Source organism: Homo sapiens, chromosome 14 (genome assembly GCF_000001405.40).
Source record: "Homo sapiens chromosome 14, GRCh38.p14 Primary Assembly".
Lineage (NCBI taxonomy): Eukaryota > Metazoa > Chordata > Mammalia > Primates > Hominidae > Homo > Homo sapiens.
Genome location: NC_000014.9, coordinates 31,789,299 through 31,812,118, shown reverse-complemented (window position 1 = coordinate 31,812,118; position 22,820 = coordinate 31,789,299). Strand labels below are relative to the sequence as shown.

At 37.8% G+C, this 22,820-nt stretch overlaps 1 protein-coding gene across 9 annotated transcripts in view, besides 1 other annotated feature; it reads right to left on the bottom strand.

Annotated features, from left to right (window-relative positions):
• The window catches only part of NUBPL (NUBP iron-sulfur cluster assembly factor, mitochondrial), a 299,821-nt gene that overhangs the window by 49,106 nt on the left and 227,895 nt on the right, over positions 1 to 22,820 (bottom strand). The gene's annotated exons all lie outside the window — the stretch shown is intronic.
• Positions 18,469 to 18,669: a silencer, noted in NCBI's record as "peak2132 fragment used in MPRA reporter construct". NCBI's record gives its function as "represses an SCP1 promoter by STARR-seq MPRAs in K562 erythroleukemia cells {active_cell/tissue: K562}" and the evidence as "EXISTENCE:reporter gene assay evidence [ECO:0000049][PMID:32103011]".

The following is a 22,820-nucleotide window of genomic DNA, read 5'->3' as shown; positions in this document are numbered from 1 at the left end:
CCACCTCCTCAAGTGGGTCCATGACCCCCATGTAGCCTAATTTGGAGACACCTCCCAGTAGGGGCCGACTGACACCTCATACAGCCAGGTGCCCCTCTGAGACGAAGCTTCCAGAGGAAGAATCAGGGAGCAATATTTGCTGTTCTGCAATATTTGCTGTTCTGCAGCCTCTGCTGGTGAAACCCAGGAAAACAGGGTCTGAAGTGGACTTCTAGCAAAATCAAACAGACCTGCAGCTGAGGGACCTGACTGGTAGAAGAAAAACTAACAAACAGAAAGGAATAGCATCAGCATCAACAAAAAGGACATCCACAAAAAAACCCCATCTGTAGGTCAACATCATCAAAGACCAAAGGTAGATAAAACCACAAAGATGGAGAGAAACCAGAGCAGAAAAGGTAAAAATTCTAAAAACCAGAGCACTCCTTCTCCTCCAAAGGATCACAACTCCTCACCAGCAACGGAACAAAGCAGGACAAAGAATGACTTTGACAAGCTGACAGAAGTAGGCTTCAGAAAGTCAGTAATAACAAACTTCTCTGAGCTACAGGAGGAGGTTTGAACCCATCGTAAGGAAGCTAAAAACCTTGAAAAAGATTAGACGAATGGCTAACTGAATAAACAGTGCAGAGAAGACCTTAAGTGACCTGAAGGAGCTGAAAACCATGGCACAAGAACTATGTGATGCATGCACAAGCTTCAGTAGCCGATTCGATCAAGTGGAAGAAAGGGTATCAGTGATTGAAGATCAAATTGAAGAAATGAAGCCAGAAGAGAAGTTTAGAGAAAAAAGAGTAAAAAGAAACAAACAAATCTTCCAAGAAATATGAGACTATGTGAACAGACCAAGTCTACATGTAATTGGTGTACTAGAAAGTGATGGGGAGAATGGAACCAAGCTGGAAAACACTCTTCAGGATATTATCCAGGAGAACTTCCCCAGCCCAGCAAGGCAGGCCAACATTCAAATTCAGGAAGTACAGAGAACACCACAAATATACTCCTTGAAAAGAGCAACCCCAAGACATATAATTATCAGATTCACCAAGGTTGAAATGAAGGAAAAAATGCTAAGGGCAGCCAGAGAGAAAGGGCGGGTTAACCACAAAGGGAAGCCCATCAGACTAACAGTGGATCTCTCGCCAGAAACCCTACAAGCCAGAAGAGAGTGGGGGCCAATATTCAACATTCTTTAAGAAAAGAATTTTCAACCCAGAATTTCATATCCAGCCAAACTAAGCTTCATAAGGGAAGGAGAAATAAAATCCTTTACAGACTAGCAAATGCTGAGAGATTTTGTCACCAACAGGCCTGCCTTACAAAAGCTCCTGAAGGAAGCACTAAACATGGAAAGGAACAATAAGTACCAGCCACTGCAAAAACATGCCAAAGTGTAAAGACCATTGATGCTAGGAAGAAACTGCATCAACTAATGGACAAAATAATCAGCTAACATCATAATGACAGGATCAAATTCACACATCACAATGTTAACCTTAAATGTAAATGGGCTAAATGCCCCATTTAAAAGACACAGACTGGCAAACTGGACAAAGAGTCAAGACCCATCAGTGTGCTGTATTCAGGAGACCCATCTCACATGCAGAGACATACATAGGCTCAAAATAAAGGGATGGAGGAAGATCTACCAAGCAAATGGAAAACAAAAAACAACAGGGGTTGCAATCCTAGACTCTGATAAAACAGACTTTAAACCAACAAAGATAAAAAGAAACAAAGACGGCCATTACATAATGGTAAAGGGAACAATTCAACAAGAAGAGCTACCTATTCTAAATATATATGCACCCAATACAGGAGCACCCAGATTCATAAAGCAAGCCCCAAGAGACCTAAAAAGAGACTTAGACTCCCACACAATAATAATGGGAGACTTTAACACCCCACTGTCAACATTAGACAGATCAACAAGACATAAGGTTAACAAGGATATCCAGGACTTGAACTCAGCTCTGCACCAAGAGGACCTAATAGACATCTACAGAACTCTCCGCCCCAAATCAACAGAATATACATTCTTCTCAGCACCACATCACACTTATTCCAAAATTGACCACATAGTTGGAAGTAAAGCTCTCCTCAGCAAATGTAAAAGAACAGAAATCACAACAAACTATCTATCAGACCACAGTGCAATCAAATTAGAACTCAGGATTAAGAAACTCACTCAAAACTACACAACTACATGGAAACTTAACAACCTGCTCCTGAATGACTACTGGGTACATAACGAAATGAAGGCAGAAATAAAAATGTTCTTTGAAACCAATGAGAACAAAGACATAACGTACCAGAATCTCTGGGACACATTTAAAGCAGTGTGTAGAGGGAAATTTATAGAACTAAATGCCCACAAGAGAAAGCAGGGAAGATCTAAAATTGACACCCTAACATCACGATTAAAAGAACTAGAGAAGCAAGAGCAAACACATTCAAAAACTAGCAGAAGGCAAGAAATAACTAAGATCAGAGCAGAACTGAAGGAAATAGAGACACAAAAAACCCTTCAAAAAATCAATGAATCCAGGAGCTGGTTTTTTGAAAAGATCAACAAAATTGACAGACTGCTAGCAAGACTAATAAAGAAGAAAAGAGAGAAGAATCAAAAAGACACAATAAAAAATGATAAAGGTGATATCACCACCAATCCCATAGAAATACAAACTACCATCAGAGAATACTATAAACACCTCTACAGAAATAAACTAGAAAGTCTAGAAGAAATGGATAAATTCCTGAACACATACACCCTCCTAAGACTAAACCAGGAAGAAGCTGAATCTCTGAATAGCGAGTAACAGGCTCTGAAATTGAGGCAATAATTAATAGCCTACCAACCGAAAAATGTCCAGGACCAGACAGATTCACAGCCGAATTCTATCAGAAGTACAAAGAGGAGCTGGTACCATTCCTTCTGAAACTATTCCCATCAGAAGAAAAAGAGGGAATCCTCCCTAACTCATTTTATGAGGCCAGCATCATCCTGATACCAAAACCTGGCAGAGACAAAACAAAAAAAGAGAATTTTAGACCAATATCCCTGATGAACATCGATGCAAAAATCCTCAATAAAATACTGGCAAACCGAATCCAGCAGCACATCAAAAAGCTTATCCACCATGATCAAGTTGGATTCATCCCTGGGATACAAGGCTGGTCCAACATATGCAAATCAATAAACGTAATCCATCACATAAACAGAACGAAAGAGAAAAACCACATCATTATCTCAATAGATGCAGAAAAGGCCTTTGACAAAATTCAACAGCCCTTCATGCTAAAAACTCTCAATAAATTTGGTATTGATGGAAAATATCTCAAAATAATAAGAGCTATTTATGACAAACCCACAGCCAGTATCATACTGAATGGGCAAAAACTGGAAGCATTCCCTTTGAAAACTGGCACAAGACAGGGATACCCTCTCTCGCCACTCCTATTCAACAGTGTTGGAAGTTCTGGCCAGGGCAATCAGGCAAGAGAAAGAAATGAAGGGTATTCAATTAGGAAAAGAGGAAGTCCAGTTGTCCCTGTTTGCAGATGACATGATTGTATATCTAGAAAACCCCATCGTCTCAGCCCAAAATCTCCTTAAGCTGATAAGCAACTTCAGCAAAGTCTCAGGATACAAAATCAATGTGCAAAAATCACAAGCATTCGTATACACAAATAACAGACAGAGAGCCAAATCGTGAGTGAATCCCATTCACAATTGCTACAAAGAGAATAAAATATCTAGGAATCCCACTGACAAGGGATGTGAAGGACCTCTTCAAGGAGAACTACAAACCACTGCTCAATGAAATAAAAGAGGATACAAACAAATGGAAGAACATTCCATGCTCATGGATAGGAAGAATCAATATCGTGAAAATGGCCATACTGCCCAAGGGAATTTATAGATTCAATGCCATCCCCATCAAGCTACCAATGACTTTCTTCACAGAACTGGAAAAAACTACTTTCAAGTTCATATGAAACCAAAAAAGAGTCCGCATCGCCAAGTCAATCCTAAGCCAAAAGAACGAAGTTGGAGGCATCACGCCACCTGACTTCAAACTGTAGTACAAGGATACAGTAACCAACACAGCATGGTACTGGTACCAAAACAGAGATATAGATCAATGGAACAGAACAGAGCCCTCAGAAATAATACCACACATCTACAACCATCTGATCTTTGACAAACCTAACAAAAACAAGAAATGGGGAAAGGATTCCCTATTTAATAAATGGTGCTGGGAAAACTGGCTAGCCATATGTACAAAGCTGAAACTGGATCCCTTCCTTACACCTTATACAAAAATTAATTCAAGATGGATTAAAGACTTAAATGTTAGACCTAAAACCATAAAAACCCTAGAAGAAAACCTAGGCAACGCCATTGAGGACATAAGCACAGGTAAGGACTTCATGACTAAAACACCAAAAGCAATGGCAACAAAAGGAAAAATTGACAAATGGGATCTAATTAAACTAAAGAGCTTCTGCACAGCAAAAGAAACTACCATCAGAGTGAACAGGCAACCTACAGAATGGGAGAAAATTTTTGCAATCTACTCATCTGACAAAGGGCTAATATCCAGAATCTACAAAGAACGTAAGCCAATTTTCAAGGAAAAAACAAACAACCCCATCAAAAAGTGGGCAAAGGATATGAACAGACACTTCTCAAAAGAAGACATTTATGCAGCCAACAGACACATGAAAAAATGCTCATCATCACTGGTCATCAGAGAAATGCAAATCAAAACCACAATGAGATACCACCTCACACCAGTTAGAATGGCAATCATTAAAAAGTCAGGAAACAACAGATGCTGGGGAGTATGTAGAGAAACAGGAATGCTTTTACACTGTTGGTGGGAATGTAAACTAGTTCAACCATTGTGGAAGACAGTGTGGCGATTCCTCAAGGATCTAAAACTAGAAACACCATTTGACCCAGCCATCCCATTACTGGGTATATACCCAAAGGATTATAAAGCATGCTGCTATAAAGACACATGCACACATATGTTTATTGTGGCACTATTCACAATAGCAAAGACTTGGAACCAACCCAAATGTCCATCAGTGATAGACTGGATTAAGAAAATGTGGCACATATACACCATGGAATACTATGCAGCCATAAAAAAGGATGAGTTCATGTCCTGTGTAGCGACATGGATGAAACTAGAAACCATCATTCAGAGCAAACTATCACAAGGACAGAAAACCAAACACTGCATGTTCTCACTGATAGGTGGGAATTGAACAATGAGAACACTTGGACACAGGGTGGGGAACATCACATACCTGGGCCTGTCGTGGTGTGGGGGGATGGGAGAGGGATAGCAGTAGTAGAAATACCTAATGTAAATGACGAGTTAATGGGTGCAGCTAACCAACACGGCACATGTATACACATATGTAACAAACCTGCACGTTGTGCACATGTACCCTAGAACTTAAAGTATAATAAGAAAAATCCTTCAAAAAAATAATAAAATAAATAAAACAGAAAAAAGAAAAGATAAAACCCTTGTATTTTTCCAGTCTTGAATCTATCTTTATACTGATCAGCAAACACCTTGGGGAGCTTACTTGTACACATATGGCTCTACAACTGAAAAAACTATTTTGGTTTCCAGTGTTTGTTCATGTTGAACTCTAAGGTTAAATATTTTGCATTTTAAATTGTGATGCACATATAGCTCAGCTTGCTCATGACTGCAGCAAACCAATACCAAAGACCTTTTAATAACAGAACACATTCCTTTTTATACATATTCTTTCTCTAAAAAAAACTCCAGAGAGGAGAACTGCTGCTCTCTGATTACCATTACCCTAACTTTATTTAACCAGGTATTTTTCAGGAAATAAAGGAATAGAGACAGAGACTTTATATGGAAAGCTTTGATCTATTTCCAAATACTGTCATACTTAAGATGTGAAGGCATTCTTCAGAGCTACATTTCAGATCCTGATCAAATTTCTAACATCTATGACCAAGTGCACAACTTTTTAAACTGTGGGATTTGTATTTTTTTCTACATATAAATGTTTAATGAATTTAAAAGTGGTTTTTAGTAAGAACCTGACCACATATTGGTCATTATACTCTTCACTGAACTTTAAGACATTAAGGAATTTTATCTGTCTGGCATATCATGAAGGAAATGCCCCCCAAAATTTTTTAATTTTTATTTTAGGTTCGGGGTTACATGTGAAGTTTTGTTATATAGGTAAACCTGTGTCATGGGGGTTTGTTGTACAGATTATTTCATCACCCACGTATTAAGCCTAATACCCAATAGTTACTTTTTTTCAGCTCCTCTCCTTCCTCCCACCCTTCACCCTCTGAGAGGCCCCAGTGTGTTGTTCCCCTCTTTGTGTCCATGTGTTCTCATTATTACTTCCCACTTATAAGTGAGAACATGGGGTGTTTTTTTATTCCTGCATTAGGTAGTTAAGGATAATGGCCTCCAGCTCCATCCATGTCCCCGCAAAGGAACATTCTTTTTTTATGGATGCACAGTATTCCATGGTGTGTATATAGCATATTTTCTTTATTCAGTCTACCATTGATAGGCATTTAGGTTGATTCCATATCTTTGCTATTGTGAGTAGTAGTGCAACAAATGTACACGTGCATGTGTCTTTATGACAGAATGATTCACATTCCTTCAGGTATACTCCCAGTAATGGGACTGCTAGGTTGAATGATAGTTCTGTCTTTAGCTCTTTGAGGAATCACCATACTGCTTTCCACAATGGTTGAGCTAATTTACACTCTCACCAACAGTGTATAAGTGTTCCCTTTTCTCTGCAATCTCATCAGCATCTGTTATTTTTCGACTTTGTATTAATAACAGCCATTCTGACTGGTGTGAGATGATATCTCATTGTGGTTTTGATTTGCATTTCTCTAGTGATCAGTGATGTTGAGCTTTTATTCATATGCTTGTTGGCTGCATGCATGCCTTCTTTTGAAAAGTGTCTGTTCGTGTCCTTTGCCCACTTTTTAATGTTTTTTTTTGTCTTGTAAATAGATGCTGGATATTAGACCTTTTCAGATGCATAGTTTGTGAATATTTTCTCCCATTCTGTAGGCTGTCTGTTTACTCTGTTGATAGTTTATTTTTGCTGGACAGAAGCTCTTAATTTTAATTAGATCCCTTTTGCCAATTTTTGCTTTTGTTGTGATTGCTGTTAGCATCTTTGTCATGAAATCTTTGCCATTCCTATGTCCAGGATGGTATTGCTAGGTTGTCTTCCAGGGTTTTGATAGTTTTGGGTTTTACATTTAAGTCTTTAACCCATCTTGAGTTGATTTTTGTATATGGTGTAAGGGAGGGTTCCAGCTTCAATCTTCTGCTTATGGATAGCCAGTTATCCCAGCAACATTGATTAAATAGGAAGTCTTTTCCCCATTGCTTGTTTTTTGTCAGCCTTATTGAAGATCAAATGGTCATAGATGTGCGGCCTTACTTCTGGGCTCTCTATTATGTTCCATTGGTCTATGTGCCTGTTTTTGCACCAGAATTCTTAAACGACAAAACTGAATGAACTATCTCAGAAACTTCCTATTCAAATACAGGCTAGATGACCTCTTGATAGGTATTCAGGGAATTCAAACATCAGATGGGTTGGTCTAGACAAGTGATTCTGAAAGCTGATTAAATAAGAATCATCTGGGGAAGCTTTTAAAATCCTGCTCCTTTTCATGTCATACTTCAGAAGTTATTAATTCTCAAGCTATTTTTTGAACTGTTAACTGATATACTGTAACATCTACCTATTACTTCTACTCCCCACTACTTAAAATATACTTCGTTATCTACAATATAAATATTCTGTTCATAGATTTAATGACAGTACCATTTTGCCTTGTGATAGTATGAATTTTCACTAATTTGACTGTACTACTAGTGTCTATATTAGCTTACAAACTCATAGAGGGCAGAAATTATGTCCCTTCCTTTGTATTTCATATATGTTCAGCCAAATACAAGAGCCCTAAAGAGTTTATTTCTTCTTAAATTTAGATTGAGAGTTAGGTGTGGTGGTGCATCCCTGTAATCCCAGTTACTTGGGAGGCTAAGGTGGGAGAATCCCTTGAACCAGGGAGTTTGAGACCAGCCTGTGCAATATAGAGAGACTCCATCCCAAAGAAAGAAACGAAAGGAAGGAGGAAAAGAAAAGAAAGATAGAAAGCATTTAGTAAATGGCATTATATTTGATTTTATAAATTTGATTCCCAATCTAACCAGGGCTGAAGTTTCAAACTGAATTTCCAGGAATGTCTTAAAAGATGAAACCCTGGAATGCAGTTTCTAGTAGTTGGTTACAATTTGTGTAACAACAAAACCAATTTATTTCAGAAAGAATTTTTTAACTTGATGAATACAACAATAACTCTTTCTACATCATGCAACTCTTGCCAAGTATCTATTAATTACAACTCTGCCCAACATTTGCATGGAAAGACGGTGTGCTTGAAAAAAGTCCAAAATTGATTGCCTCCTTTAACGTGCTGTTCTGGAAACTGAAAACATTAATGAAGATTTAATATTCCTTAATATTAGGAAACGTAATGTCCTAATTCCTGAACCTTTAAGGTGCAAAGTTATTTTTAGAGCTACATTTTGAGGTCATTATAAATTACAAAGTTTTAGGGGAAACACAGCACTAAAATCCAAAATAGCCAAATGTTTTTCTTTGAATTTTCAATGTTTTCCAAAACACTGGCATTAGATGCCTTTAAGGAACTACTCTAGCAAATTTGAAAATAGGAAGTGAAAAAATAGTTATTTAAAAAAATAAAAGATTTTATTTAGTTTACCTAAGTGAAATTACTATGTTCCTTTTGCTTTGGAAGAGTAAATGCCAAACAATCAAGGAAACTATTTAAAGTAATGGTGCATGGGTCATTCATTTATTTAACTTGGCAACAATAAGTTTCTGTCTGATCCTCCAATCCCCAATAGGTTTCTTCATTACAGAAACCATTGTCCAAACTGACAGTCAAAGAGGGTTACCATAAAAGAGATAACTGATTAAGTAAACTGCTGATGGAAGGAAAAATATCAGGGTAGGCAAGTTTAACTTTTTCTCAAGAATTTTTGATGAGTGAATGGAAGTTTAGTCACTGTGACAATAGGCCTGACACCTTTCACAAACAATAAATGCCTTTCACTTTAAACAATGACTGAAATATTACAATGTCTTAATTTAAAACTCCTATCTCATCTCATTTAAATGAATGAGAGACAGAAAGACCTCTGGCTTTCCTTCTATCAGCAGGGCCCAGATAGGAAAGGTCCTAGACAGGTAGAAAGGACATCACCTCATTATCAATTGTCTTATTTCATTTTCTTTTGCCATAACACAATATCTGAGACTGGGTAATTAATTTATAAGGAAAATAAGTTTATTTGGCTCATTGCTCTGTAGACTGGGAAGTCCAAGGGCATGGCAGCAACTTCTGGGGAGAGCCTTCCCACTACGTCATGACATTGTGTAGAAAAGAAGGGCGGCCAGGTACGGTGGCTCACGCCTGTAATCCCAGCACTTTGGGAGGCCCAGGTGGGTGGATCACGAGGTCAGGAGATCAAGACCATCCTGGCCAACATGGTGAAACCCGGTCTCTACTAAAAATACAAAAAAATTAGCCAGGCATGGTGGCACGCGCCTGTAGTCCCAGCTACTCAGGAGGCTGAGGCAGGAGAATTGCTTGAACCCAGGAGGCAGAGACTGCAGTGAGCCAAGATCATGTCACTGCACTCCAGCCTGGTGACAGAGCAAGACTCTGTCAAAAAAAAAAAGAAGAAGAAGAAGAAGAAGGGCAAGTAAATCGTGTGCTAAGGAGATCTTAAGAATAAGTTAAACTTGTTTTTATTATATTACAACCTGCTCTGGAGAGAACTCCCTCCCTCCTGTAAGAACTAATTAACTCCCTTGAGAATTAACTCATTCCTGGGATAAGGGCATTCGTTTATTCATGAGGATAGAGCCCTGATGACCCAATCACTTCTTAAAGTCCCCACCTATTAATAATGTTACATTAGCAAATAAGTTTCTAACACATGAACTTTTGTGGGACACAGTCAAACCACAGCAATGGTATCACACCAAACTGTTAGGGCAACTTTTCTTGAGCCCATGAATATTCAACATATTAACTAGCTGACTACTGTCATACACAGTGGCTTCTCTCTCTCCAGGAGATAAGAAATCAAAACAGGATTTACACTAGGACTGTCTAGCTGTGTCCTGTACCACTTCTGCTGTTCCCTGGAAGAACACAGAGGGAACAAAGAAGGGATCATGATAGCTTCCCTCTCAGTTGCTCAGTCTTTGTCCCTTCTATTATAAGAACAATTTCCAAAAGTTTCATTCCTATATCAATCTTTACTTAATAAAGTGAAGGGGAACTTTTTTCTAACTAACCTATCAAAATAAACTCTTCCATCTATTACTCCCCATTACACAAAATATGCTTGCATCACTGCTCATCTACAACATAAATATTCTGTTTGTAGGTTTAATGACAGTATAATTTTGCTTTGTGACAGTATCAATTTTCACTAATTTGACTGTACTACTGGTGTCTAAATTAGCTTACAATCTTTTAGAGGGCAGAAATTCTGTCCTCTTTCTTTGTACTTCATCTATCTCAAGCTGTTAATTCACAATTATAACCATGAAGGAGCAATGTTGTGTTAGTTATTCCACTTGCTGTAGTCTCCCTCTGTGCCCCTCAAACTCTGCCCAAATGCCCTCTGCCCTGATCAGTCCCCCAAGAGTTGACCTCTGTGGACTGTATCACCTAAGTTTCCTTGCCTTCTGGCTCTCAATGGGGATCCACTATCAGGAGGGACAAAAGGAGATGAGACTGTGGGAGGAGAAAGAATTTGAAGTTTTATTACCTACCTCACCCACCACTCCTTCCTGCCTTGTAGCAGTTCTGGCAAGAGCCATAGCTTCTTCTATCAGGCAGCCCCTTTTCCATGGCTCCAGCAGGCTCCAAGTTCCACTAAGACAGTTCACTCCCTTGCCCTTTCCAGTGGAAGGGCAATAACAACTTGTACTGTCACTAGTCCCTAGGTATGTCACCATCTCTGGTTGGTTTCCTTAATGCTGCTCACTCCTTTGTAACTAGTTGCTTCATTAAACTTTGTTTTATTAATTCATTTTAAGGTTTGCCGTCTGTTTCCTGCTAGGACTCTGACTAATACAGCACTTTAATATAAATAAATTACTAAAACTCTCCAATCCTTAAAAAGAGAAAACATGCTTCACATATTTCATATGAAGCATGAAGTCTTTACTTAATTCCAAGAGTTGAAGTCAAATTGAGACAGTCTTCAGATATCATACACAGCACTTCAGTTGAAACAAAGAAGGAAAAATATTTAACACAAGTAAGAAGTTCTTTTTTAATTTAAAGTTTCTTCTTACATGGTCATACCTCATTTTATTGCACTTCACTTTACTGCACTTCAAAGATGCTGCATTTTTTACAAATTGAAGGTTTGTAGCAAACCTGTGTCAAGCAAGTCTACCCGTGCCATTTTTCCAACAGCATAGACACATTTTGTGGTTGTGTGTCACATTTTGGTAATTCTTGCAATATTTCAAACTTTTTCATTAAGGTTATATCTGTTATGGTGATCTGTGATCAGTGATCTTTGATGTTACTATTATAATTGTTGTGGGGTGCCACAAACCACACCCATATAATAGGATGGCAATCCTAATCGATATTATGTTGTATGTATTCTCACTGTACCAAATAACATTTGTGATTCATGGGCAGGGGTCAAAATATCAAGATGAACAGGAGTTTGGAAGAAGTTGATTCCAGCCCTCACAGATGACTTTTGGGGGTTCAAGATTTCAGTGGAGGAAATAACTGCAGATGTGGTGGAAACAGCAAGAGAATTATTAGAATTAGAAGTGGGATCTGAAGATGTGATTGAATTGCTGAAATCTCATTATCAAACCTGAACAGATAAGGAATTGCTCCTTATGAATTAGCAAAGAAAGTGGTTTACTGAGATGGAATCTACTTCTGGTGATGATACTGTGAACACTGTTGAAATGACAACAAAGGATTTAGAATATTACACACACTTAGTTGATAAAACAGAAGCATGGCTTGAGAAGACTGAAGACAATTTTGAAAGATATTCTACTATGGGTTAAATGCTATCAAACAGCATCACATGCTATCTTTCCTGAAAGGAAGAGTCAGTTGATGCAGCAAACTTCTTTGTTGTCTTATTTTAAGAAAATGTCGCAGCCACTCCAACCGTCAGCAACTGCCACCCTGATCACTCAGTGGCCACAATCACGAAGGAAAGACACTCTGCCAGCAAAAAGAGCATGACCTGATAAAGGCTTGAATGACTGTTAGCATTTTTAGCAATAAAATATTTAAGGAATGTATATTTTTAAAGACATAATGTTGTATACACTTCACAGACTACTGTATAGTGTAAATGTAAGTTTTGTATGTACTGAGAAACCAAAAAGTTCATGCAACTTGCTTGATTACGATACTTGCTTTATTGAGGTGGCCTGGAACCAAACCTGTAATATTCCCAAGGTGTACCTGTAATGAGGTTGTTATCCATTTTATGTAACAAGATGGAGCATATACAAAGAGTTGCTAATTAAGAAATTACCTTATTTCTTGCAGGGATGTTTAGTAAGGTACTAAATATCTTTCTGATTATCTACCCTTACTTGTGGAGAACTTAACTCCACAGACTTGTAAGGATCAAATAAGATAATGAATGTAAATATTCCATCCAAATGTATAGTATTTTCTAGAAACTACATGTACACTATAAAAAAGGATTTTTTTGTGTGTGTGGGGGTGGTTGTATCTTGTATCTAGCTAATATCAAAATTCTCTCTCAGAATACTGCACTTTCTGTATGGACAGGTCTGCCTCTACATATTTTCCAAAAGATTGTCTCTTCCCAAGTATAAAACATCTGATTTTATTCTCAACATAGCTTATAGAAATGCAAAATTGATAGAAAGGCTCTTTCTAATTCACAACATTTCTCTACTAACTGCCCTGTCCCACAAAAAAACTTTTTGATAGTGTTCCTGTAGTTTCTAGAAAATACTATACATTTAGATGGAGGCTTTACATTCATTATCTTATTTGATCCTTACAAGTCTGTGGAGTTAAGCAAGTTTTCCACAGGTAAGGAGAGAGAATTAGAAAGGTATTTAGCACCTTACTAAACAACACTTCAAGTAAATAAGATAATTTCTTTTTTTTTTTTTTTTTTTTTTTTTTGAGACGGAGTCTTGCTCTGTCACCCAGGCTGGAGTGCAGTGGCATGATCTCCGCTCACTGCAAGCTCCGCCTCCCAGGTTCACGCCATTCTCCTGCCTCAGCCTCCCGAGTAGCCAGGACTACAGGCGCCCGCCACTATGCCCGGCTAATTTTTTGTTTTTTTAGTAGAGACAGGGTTTCACCGTGTTAGCCAGGATGGTCTCGTTCTCCCGACCCCATGATCCACCCGCCTCGGCCTCTCAAAGTGCTGGGATTACAGGCGTGAGCCACCGCACCTGGCATAAATAAGATAATTTCTAATTACTGTATTACAATGGAACAATACTAATTATTCTCATTAGTAATTTAATATAGAGCCTGCAAGTAATCAAATAGCAAATGCCCACATGCACACTACTATCCCACACACTAAAACAAAGGGAATACTAAAAGGCATCAACTGACCACATGGATATTATATACAGCACAGCAAAAAAAAAAAAAAAAAACCATAAATAAATACCTAAAATGAAAGTAGTTTTCTCTCAGAGGGGAAATAAAATAAAATGCACGTTTCCTTGAAAAATGCTTCCTTTAACATATACACAGAAAAAACACTTGGGTGAGAAGCAGTCAGGGTGAGGCACTCATAGGAATGAATCAGCAGGATGGTAAGAAAGATAAGGGGGCACAACATCAGACTAACAGCGGATCTCTCGGCAGAAACCCTACAAGCCAGAAGAGAGTGGGGGCCAATATTCAACATTCTTAAAGAAAAGAATTTTCAACCCAGAATTTCATATCCAGCCAAACTAAGCTTCATAAGTGAAGGAGAAATAAAATACTTTATAGACAAGCAAATGCTGAGAGATTTTGTCACCACCAGGCCTGCCCTAAAAGAGCTCCTGAAGGAAGCGCTAAACATGGAAAGGAACAACCGGTACCAGCCGCTGCAAAATCATGCCAAAATGTAAAGACCATCGAGACTAGGAAGAAACTGCATCAACTAATGAGCAAAATCACCAGCTAACATCATAATGACAGGATCAAATTCACACATAGCAATATTAACTTTAAATGTAAATGGACTAAATGCTCCAATTAAAAGACACAGACTGGCAAGTTGGATAAAGAGTCAAGACCCATCAGTGTGCTGTATTCAGGAAACCCATCTCACGTGCAGAGACACACATAGGCTCAAAATAAAAGGATGGAGGAAGATCTACCAAGCCAATGGAAAACAAAAAAAGGCAGGGGTTGCAATCCTAGTCTCTGATAAAACAGACTTTAAACCAACAAAGATCAAAAGAGACAAAGAAGGCCATTACGTAATGGTAAAGGGATCAATTCAACAAGAGGAGCTAACTATCCTAAATATTTATGCACCCAATACAGGAGCACCCAGATTCATAAAGCAAGTCCTCAGTGACCTACAAAGAGACTTAGACTCCCACACATTAATAATGGGAGACTTTAACACCCCACTGTCAACATTAGACAGATCAACGAGACAGAAAGTCAACAAGGATACCCAGGAATTGAACTCAGCTCTGCACCAAGCAGACCTAATAGACATCTACAGAACTCTCCACCCCAAATCAACAGAATATACATTTTTTTCAGCACCACACCACACCTATTCCAAAATTGACCACATAGTTGGAAGTAAAGCTCTCCTCAGCAAATGTAAAAGAACAGAAATTATAACAAACTATCTCTCAGACCACAGTGCAATCAAACTAGAACTCAGGATTAAGAATCTCACTCAAAGCCGCTCAACTACATGGAAACTGAACAACCTGCTCCTGAATGACTACTGGGTACATAACGAAATGAAGGCAGAAATAAAGATGTTCTTTGAAACCAACGAGAACAAAGACACCACATACCAGAATCTCTGGGACGCATTCAAAGCAGTGTGTAGAGGGAAATTTATAGCACTAAATGCCTACAAGAGAAAGCAGGAAAGATCCAAAATTGACACCCTAACATCACAATTAAAAGAACTAGAAAAGCAAGAGCAAACACATTCAAAAGCTAGCAGAAGGCAAGAAATAACTAAAATCAGAGCAGAACTGAAGGAAAAAGAGACACAAAAAACCCTTCAAAAAATCAATGAATCCAGGAGCTGGTTTTTTGAAAGGATCAACAAAATTGATAGACCGCTAGCAAGACTAATAAAGAAAAAAAGAGAGAAGAATCAAATAGACACAATAAAAAATGATAAAGGGGATATCACCACCGATCCCACAGAAATACAAACTACCATCAGAGAATACTACAAACACCTCTACGCAAATAAACTAGAAAATCTGGAAGAAATGGATACATTCCTCGACACATACACTCTCCCAAGACTAAACCAGGAAGAAGTTGAATCTCTGAATAGACCAATAACAGGCTCTGAAATTGTGGCAATAATCAATAGTTTACCAACCAAAAAGAGTCCAGGACCAGATGGATTCACAGCTGAATTCTACCAGAGGTACAAGGAGGAACTGGTACCTTTCCTTCTGAAACTATTCCAATCAATAGAAAAAGAGGGAATCCTCCCTAACTCATTTTATGAGGCCAGCATCATTCTGATACCAAAGCCGGGCAGAGACACAACCAAAAAAGAGAATTTTAGACCAATATCCTTGATGAACATTGATGCAAAAATCCTCAATAAAATACTGGCAAACCGAATCCAGCAGCACATCAAAAAGCTTATCCACCATGATCAAGTGGGCTTCATCCCTGGGATGCAAGGCTGGTTCAATATACGCAAATCAATAAATGTAATCCAGCATATAAACAGAGCCAAAGACAAAAACCACATGATTATCTCAATAGATGCAGAAAAAGCCTTTGACAAAATTCAACAACCCTTCATGCTAAAAACTCTCAATAAATTAGGTATTGATGGGACGTATTTCAAAATAATAAGAGCTATCTATGACAAACCCACAGCCAATATCATACTGAATGGGCAAAAACTGGAAGCATTCCCTTTGAAAACTGGCACAAGACAGGGATGCCCTCTCTCACCAATCCTATTCAACATAGTGTTGGAAGTTCTGGCCAGGGCAATCAGGCAGGAGAAGGAAATAAAGGGTATTCAATTAGGAAAAGAGGAAGTCAAATTGTCCCTGTTTGCAGACGACATGATTGTTTATCTAGAAAACCCCCTCGTCTCAGCCCAAAATCTCCTTAAGCTGATAAGCAACTTCAGCAAAGTCTGAGGATACAAAATCAATGTACAAAAATCACAAGCATTCTTATACACCAACAACAGACAAACAGAGAGCCAAATCATGGGTGAACTCCCATTCACAATTGCTTCAAAGAGAATAAAATACCTAGGAATCCAACTTACAAGGGATGTGAAGGACCTCTTCAAGGAGAACTACAAACCACTGCTCAAGGAAATAAAAGAGGACACAAACAAATGGAAGAACATTCCATGCTCATGGGTAGGAAGAATCAATATCGTGAAAATGGCCATACTGCCCAAGGTAATTTACAGATTCAATGCCATCCCCATCAAGCTACCAATGACTTTCTTCACAGAATTGGAAAAAACTACTTTAAAGTTCATATGGAATCAAAAAAGAGCCTGCATTGCCAAGTCAATCCTAAGCCAAAAGAACAAAGCTGGAGGCATCACACTACCTGACTTCAAACTATACTACAAGGCTACAGTAACCAAAACAGCATGGTACTGGTACCAAAACAGAGATATAGATCAATGGAACAGAACAGAGGCCTCAAAAATAATGCCGCATATCTACAACTATCTGATCTTTGACAAACCTGAGAAAAACAAGCAATGGGGAAAGGATTCCCTATTTAATAAATGGTGCTGGGAAAACTGGCTAGCCATATGTAGAAAGCTGAAACTGGATCCCTTCCTTACACCTTATACAAAAATCAATTCAAGATGGATTAAAGATTTAAACGTTAGACCTAAAACCATAAAAACCCTAGAAGAAAACCTAGGCATTACCATTCAGGACATAGGCGTGGGCAAGGACTTCATGTCCAAAACACCAAAAGCAATGGCAACAAAAGACAAAATTGACAAATGGGATCTAATTAAACTAAAGAGCTTCTGCACAGCAAAAGAAACTACCATCAGAGTGAACAGGCAACCTACAACATGGGAGAAAATTTTCGCAACCTACTCATCTGACAAAGGGCTAATATCCAGAATCTACAATGAACTCAAACAAATTTACAAGAAAAAAACAAACAACCCCATCAAAAAGTGGGCGAAGGACATGAACAGACACTTCTCAAAAGAAGACATTTATGCAGCCAAAAAACACATGAAGAAATGCTCATCATCACTGGCCATCAGAGAAATGCAAATCAAAACCGCTATGAGATACCATCTCACACCAGTTAGAATGGCAATCATTAAAAAGTCAGGAAACAACAGGTGCTGGAGAGGATGCGGAGAAATAGGAACACTTTTACACTGTTGGTGGGACTGTAAACTAGTTCCACCATTGTGGAAGTCAGTGTGGCGATTCCTCAGGGATCTAGAACTAGAAATACCATTTGACCCAGCCATCCCATTACTGGGTATATACCCAAATGAGTATAAATCATGCTGCTATAAAGACACATGCACACGTATGTTTATTGCGGCACTATTCACAATAGCAAAGACTTGGAACCAACCCAAATGTCCAACAATGATAGACTGGATTAAGAAAATGTGGCACATATACACCATGGAATACTATGCAGCCATAAAAAATGATGAGTTCATATCCTTTGTAGGGACATGGATGAAATTGGAAACCATCATTCTCAGTAAACTATCGCAAGAACAAAAAACCAAACACCGCATATTCTCACTCATAGGTGGGAATTGAACAATGAGATCACATGGACACAGGAAGGGGAATATCACACTCTGGGGACTGTGGTGGGGTCGGGGGAGGGGGGAGGGATAGCATTGGGAAAAAATAAAAAAAAAAATAAAAAAAAAAAAGAAAGATAAGGGGGCACAAATCCTTCTACATAAACAGTAATAGCTAGTCAGACTAGCTTTGTCATTGACTCAGTTAATATTAATTGCATAAGCTATAGGCCAAGGTACTTTAAAAGATACTATGATAAATAGGAAAAAATTTTTGCATTCAAGCAGCTTCCAGCCTAGTTGGAAAGATAATACAGTCACAGATAAAACACTCATTCATTGATTCAACATTTCCTGAGTAGCTGCAGAAAGGCACTGAGTTTGGCACCCTGAGAAATGCAAAGATGAAAGAAAAACAGCCTAGCCCTCCAGGAAGTTAACAGTCTGCTGGAGAAGATAACATAGGTATGCAGGTTTTGAATGAAGAACATCAGAAGTGCTATAGGAATAATCCAAATATTATGCTATGTGATTTCCAAAGAGGGGGAAGTGATTCCTAAATGCGGGTTTGGGGAAGATGGCGGGGAGTAGACATTTGAGCTAAATAGCTTTTAAAGATTACACAGGATTTGAGTACTCACTGACTGGGGAGGAAAGGCATTCTAAGTGAGGATCAACTGTGCTGTAAAGACATATTCTGGAAAGTAAAAGGAAGGTGGGAGTAGTGAGTACAAAGGGTTTTTTTCTAGAGGGATCCCAAATTATATGAAGGTGTTTACTGGGAAGGAGAGAGAGATCAAATTACAAGGATATTCAAATGAGAATCTAAAGAGCTTATGTTGTTTATGGGATATGGGACATAAGAAAAGGGAGAAGAACACAGAGTATCTTAAAAGAGTTCTAAAGTCAATGATAAGGAAAGAAAAACTGGGTTTATAATTAGAGAACATACAATTTAGCTAAGTCTGAAAGAGCAGACATGATTTTGACAGGCTGTTACAGGTTCTGTAAATTTATGAAAGTCATGATTCAGCCAGGCCAGCAATTCTTTGGTTGGTGCCATTCCCTCTAAATCTTGGGAGCTGAATCATTTTTGGTACCTTTTTAGATATGCTATCTGTGAAATGACACTGGCCTGAATAAACCCAAACCTCAGGAACTAAGGCTTTAACACACACATAGACACAATCACATGCTCCCCAAATTCCCTTCAACATCCTTTTTGGTAGGACATTTTTATTGTTTGCTACTTTTTTTTTCTTTTTTTGTTTATCTGCATTTCCTTGCTGCTATTTTTTATAATTATAAAATTAATTCAAATTAATACAACTTCAGTGTAGGAAATCTAGTCTTTCATTGTTATCCATTTTAATACTGACTTAATAACCACAACATGAATGTACTAACACTGCCTGCTACAACTCTATACAGACAGCCAGGGTGTCTGAAAATGGGCCATATGTTCAAGGCATATGAATCAGCACAAAGATAATACTGGTCTCTTCAAGAATCACTTGGGGCTATACTCCTAAAAGATGAAGAAAACTGCTTCTAGACTACTTCCAGAATTCTCCTGGAATGTGTGAGTTAAAGAGGCCCAAAGTAGTCTTTCAGGACTCAAAAAAATTACTGAATGTAGTAAGCACCAATCCAGATAACGAGTTGGATATTCATCCCATCGGGGTGCACAAATTTAGGCATATTCACAGATAAATTTATTTTTTTATCAGGGATTACCTAGATTAGAATAATTTCAACCTAAGTGAATTTTAATGGATTAGGGCTAAACTCAGAAAAATTAATGAGTCAAATATTGTTGGGTTTTACATTAGGCCAGTTTGATATAGAGGTCAACAGCATAAGCTTTAAACTCTGTCAAAATGAATATGAAACTTAGCTATGATCTACTGTAATTGTGTTATCTTATGAAAGCCACTAAACCCTTCTGAGATTTAAGAAAATAGAAATCATATAACACCTGTAAGAATTAAATTTGAAAATTAATATATGGAAGACTGTCATCCAATGGCAGTTTATTATTAACAGGCAATCGCCGCGGTACCATTTCATACAGAAATCTACTGTCCATAAAGAATTAGTGCTTTTTATTGATTAAATTATTAAAGAACAAGCAAAGAAAGCAAGGTATGGAGCAATCCTGAATGTTCTACAATGTATCATATTTATTCTTCAAGGTCCACTTCCATGAAGTGTTTCGTATTCCCCTTAATCTCACATTCTCTTCCTTTGAAACCCCATAGCCTGGGTTTAGATGTCTCATAAGCACTTCTCATACTGTGGATTACAGTCATACATGTCCTTTTCTTACCAGCCACTCTCTCCTGCTCCTCACCATGCTCTATCTCTTAGAGCTGGGGCTTTTAACCTGAGGAGTGTAAACTTCCTAAATTTATATACAAAATTAGTGTTTCTGTATACCATATATAAATATATTTTCCTGGAGAAAATCCAGAGTTTTCATCAAATTCTCATAAAAACTTTGAAAGTCAAAAAAGGTAAGGAACTCTTGTCTAGGGAATAGACTTACTTATCCTTTTCTTCTCTATAGTGCTAGGCATTTACCTTGCATATGAATCAAAATTTATTGATATAATGGTTTATTAATAAATCATAAAATAAATTTTAGGTTTGTTTAAATCTTTTTTCATTTTTATTTATTTTTGAGACAGGGTCTTATTCTATCACCCAGTTTGGAGTGCAATAGCATGAACACAGCTCACTGCATCCTCGACCTCCAGGGCTCAAGTGATCTTCCTGCCTCGGCCTCCTAAGTAGCTGGGACCACAAGTGCACGTCACCACTCCCAGCTAACTTTTTTTGTTTAATATTCTTTTGTACAGATAGGGTCTCACTATATTGCCCAGGATGGTCTTGAACTCCTGGGCTCAAGTGATCCTCCTGCCTCGGCCTCCTAAAGTGCTGGGATTACAGGCATGAGCCACTACATCTGGCATTAATGCAATCTTTCAAAATATATTTTCTTGCTTGGTCTTCCTTTAATGTAAAAAATAAATTAAGAATAGTGGTTATCAGGGGCTGGGGAGAATGGAGGATCCATTGAGAGTTACTGTTTTTTGTTTTTTTGTTTTTTAAGACAGTCTCACTTTGTCGCCCAGGCTGGAGTGCAGTGGCGCGATCTCGGCTCACTGCAAGCTCCACCTCCCAGCTTCATGCCATTCTCCTGTCTCAGCCTCCCAAGTAGCTGGGACTACAGGTGCCTGCCACCACACCAGGCTAATTTTTTGCATTTTTAGTAGAGATGGGGTTTCACCATGTTAGCCAGGATGGTCTCGATCTCCTGACCTCGTGATCTGCCTGCCTCAGCCTCCCAAAGTGCTGGGATTACAGGCATGAGCCACCACATCCGGCCAGAGAGTTACTGTTTAATAGCTCCAGAGTTTCAGTTTGAGAAGATGAAGGCTCTGGTGATGGACAGTAGTGATGGCTGCACAACAATGCCAATATATTATTAGTACTACTTAACTGCTCTGCACATTTCACCACCACAACAAAAAAAAGACTATGTCTTACTCTCATGTAATATTAACTGCCTATTACATGGCAGACTCTTCATCAGAGGAAAGGAAAAAGGAAATATACTGGTTAAATGTTAGGATGTAAGAAAGAATGGGGAAGAAAATCTCAACCTCTATCTATATGCAATGCTGGTGTTAGAGTATAAATACAAACTAAAATAGGGTAATTTAATCATAAATCTTGTCCAAAGGGGCTTAAAGAAAAGTAAGTGGAGAAAAAAACTGCTTAGGCAACATCAGTTTATCTGTGTGAGGTAAATTAAACTTTTTCAAGGTGCCAAGTCACTACTCAAGACATAAATGAGAATTTAGCCCAATTTTACTAATGTATTATCTATATGAATAATGCAAGTATTTTGTATGCTTGCAAAAGGCATTCCAAGGTATCAGAAGCACATTTTTTTAAAATGAACATTTGGTAAATATTCTTAAAATTTGTAAATATAAAAGATCCTAAAACTATAAATACCTTAAAAAGGAAAAAGACAAAAAAAAAAAAGAAAAATCACAGTATGAAAAAATGAATTATTTTCATATATCATTTTACTCCCATCTCATATTTTACAGCCTGCCTTATCAAAGAAAAAGTCTCAGACTCAATTAAGATTACAAATATGTTAAAACAGCAAAAGTATCTCTATTAATGAGGCTATACTGATATTTCCAAACAACACGTATATTTTGTCAAAAACTTAGATTCTAAACTTTTGATCATTAAATATCAATGATATTGTTTGGTAATCAGTATATAACTAATTAGCAAAGATACTTTAAAATTCCATTATTTTCCCAGAAATCTTTTATTTATAGATTTGCAACTATTCTTTAGTGGAATCTAGGAAAATCTTCAGAAACAGATTCAAAATAAAGGGTAACTACTGTACTAATATTTAAATTTCGTATCATAAAACAGATATGCATTACCATATTGAAGTAGTATGTATTTGATATAAGCTATGTTTATTGCTTTCTTGACTTTAATATTAATTAGCAGACTATAAAATTCTCCCATAGTTGTATTTACCAAAAAGCCAATTTTCCTAATATTTATTTTTATTTATTTATTTTTTTTCTTTTGAGACAAGAGTCTCACTCTGTCGCCCAG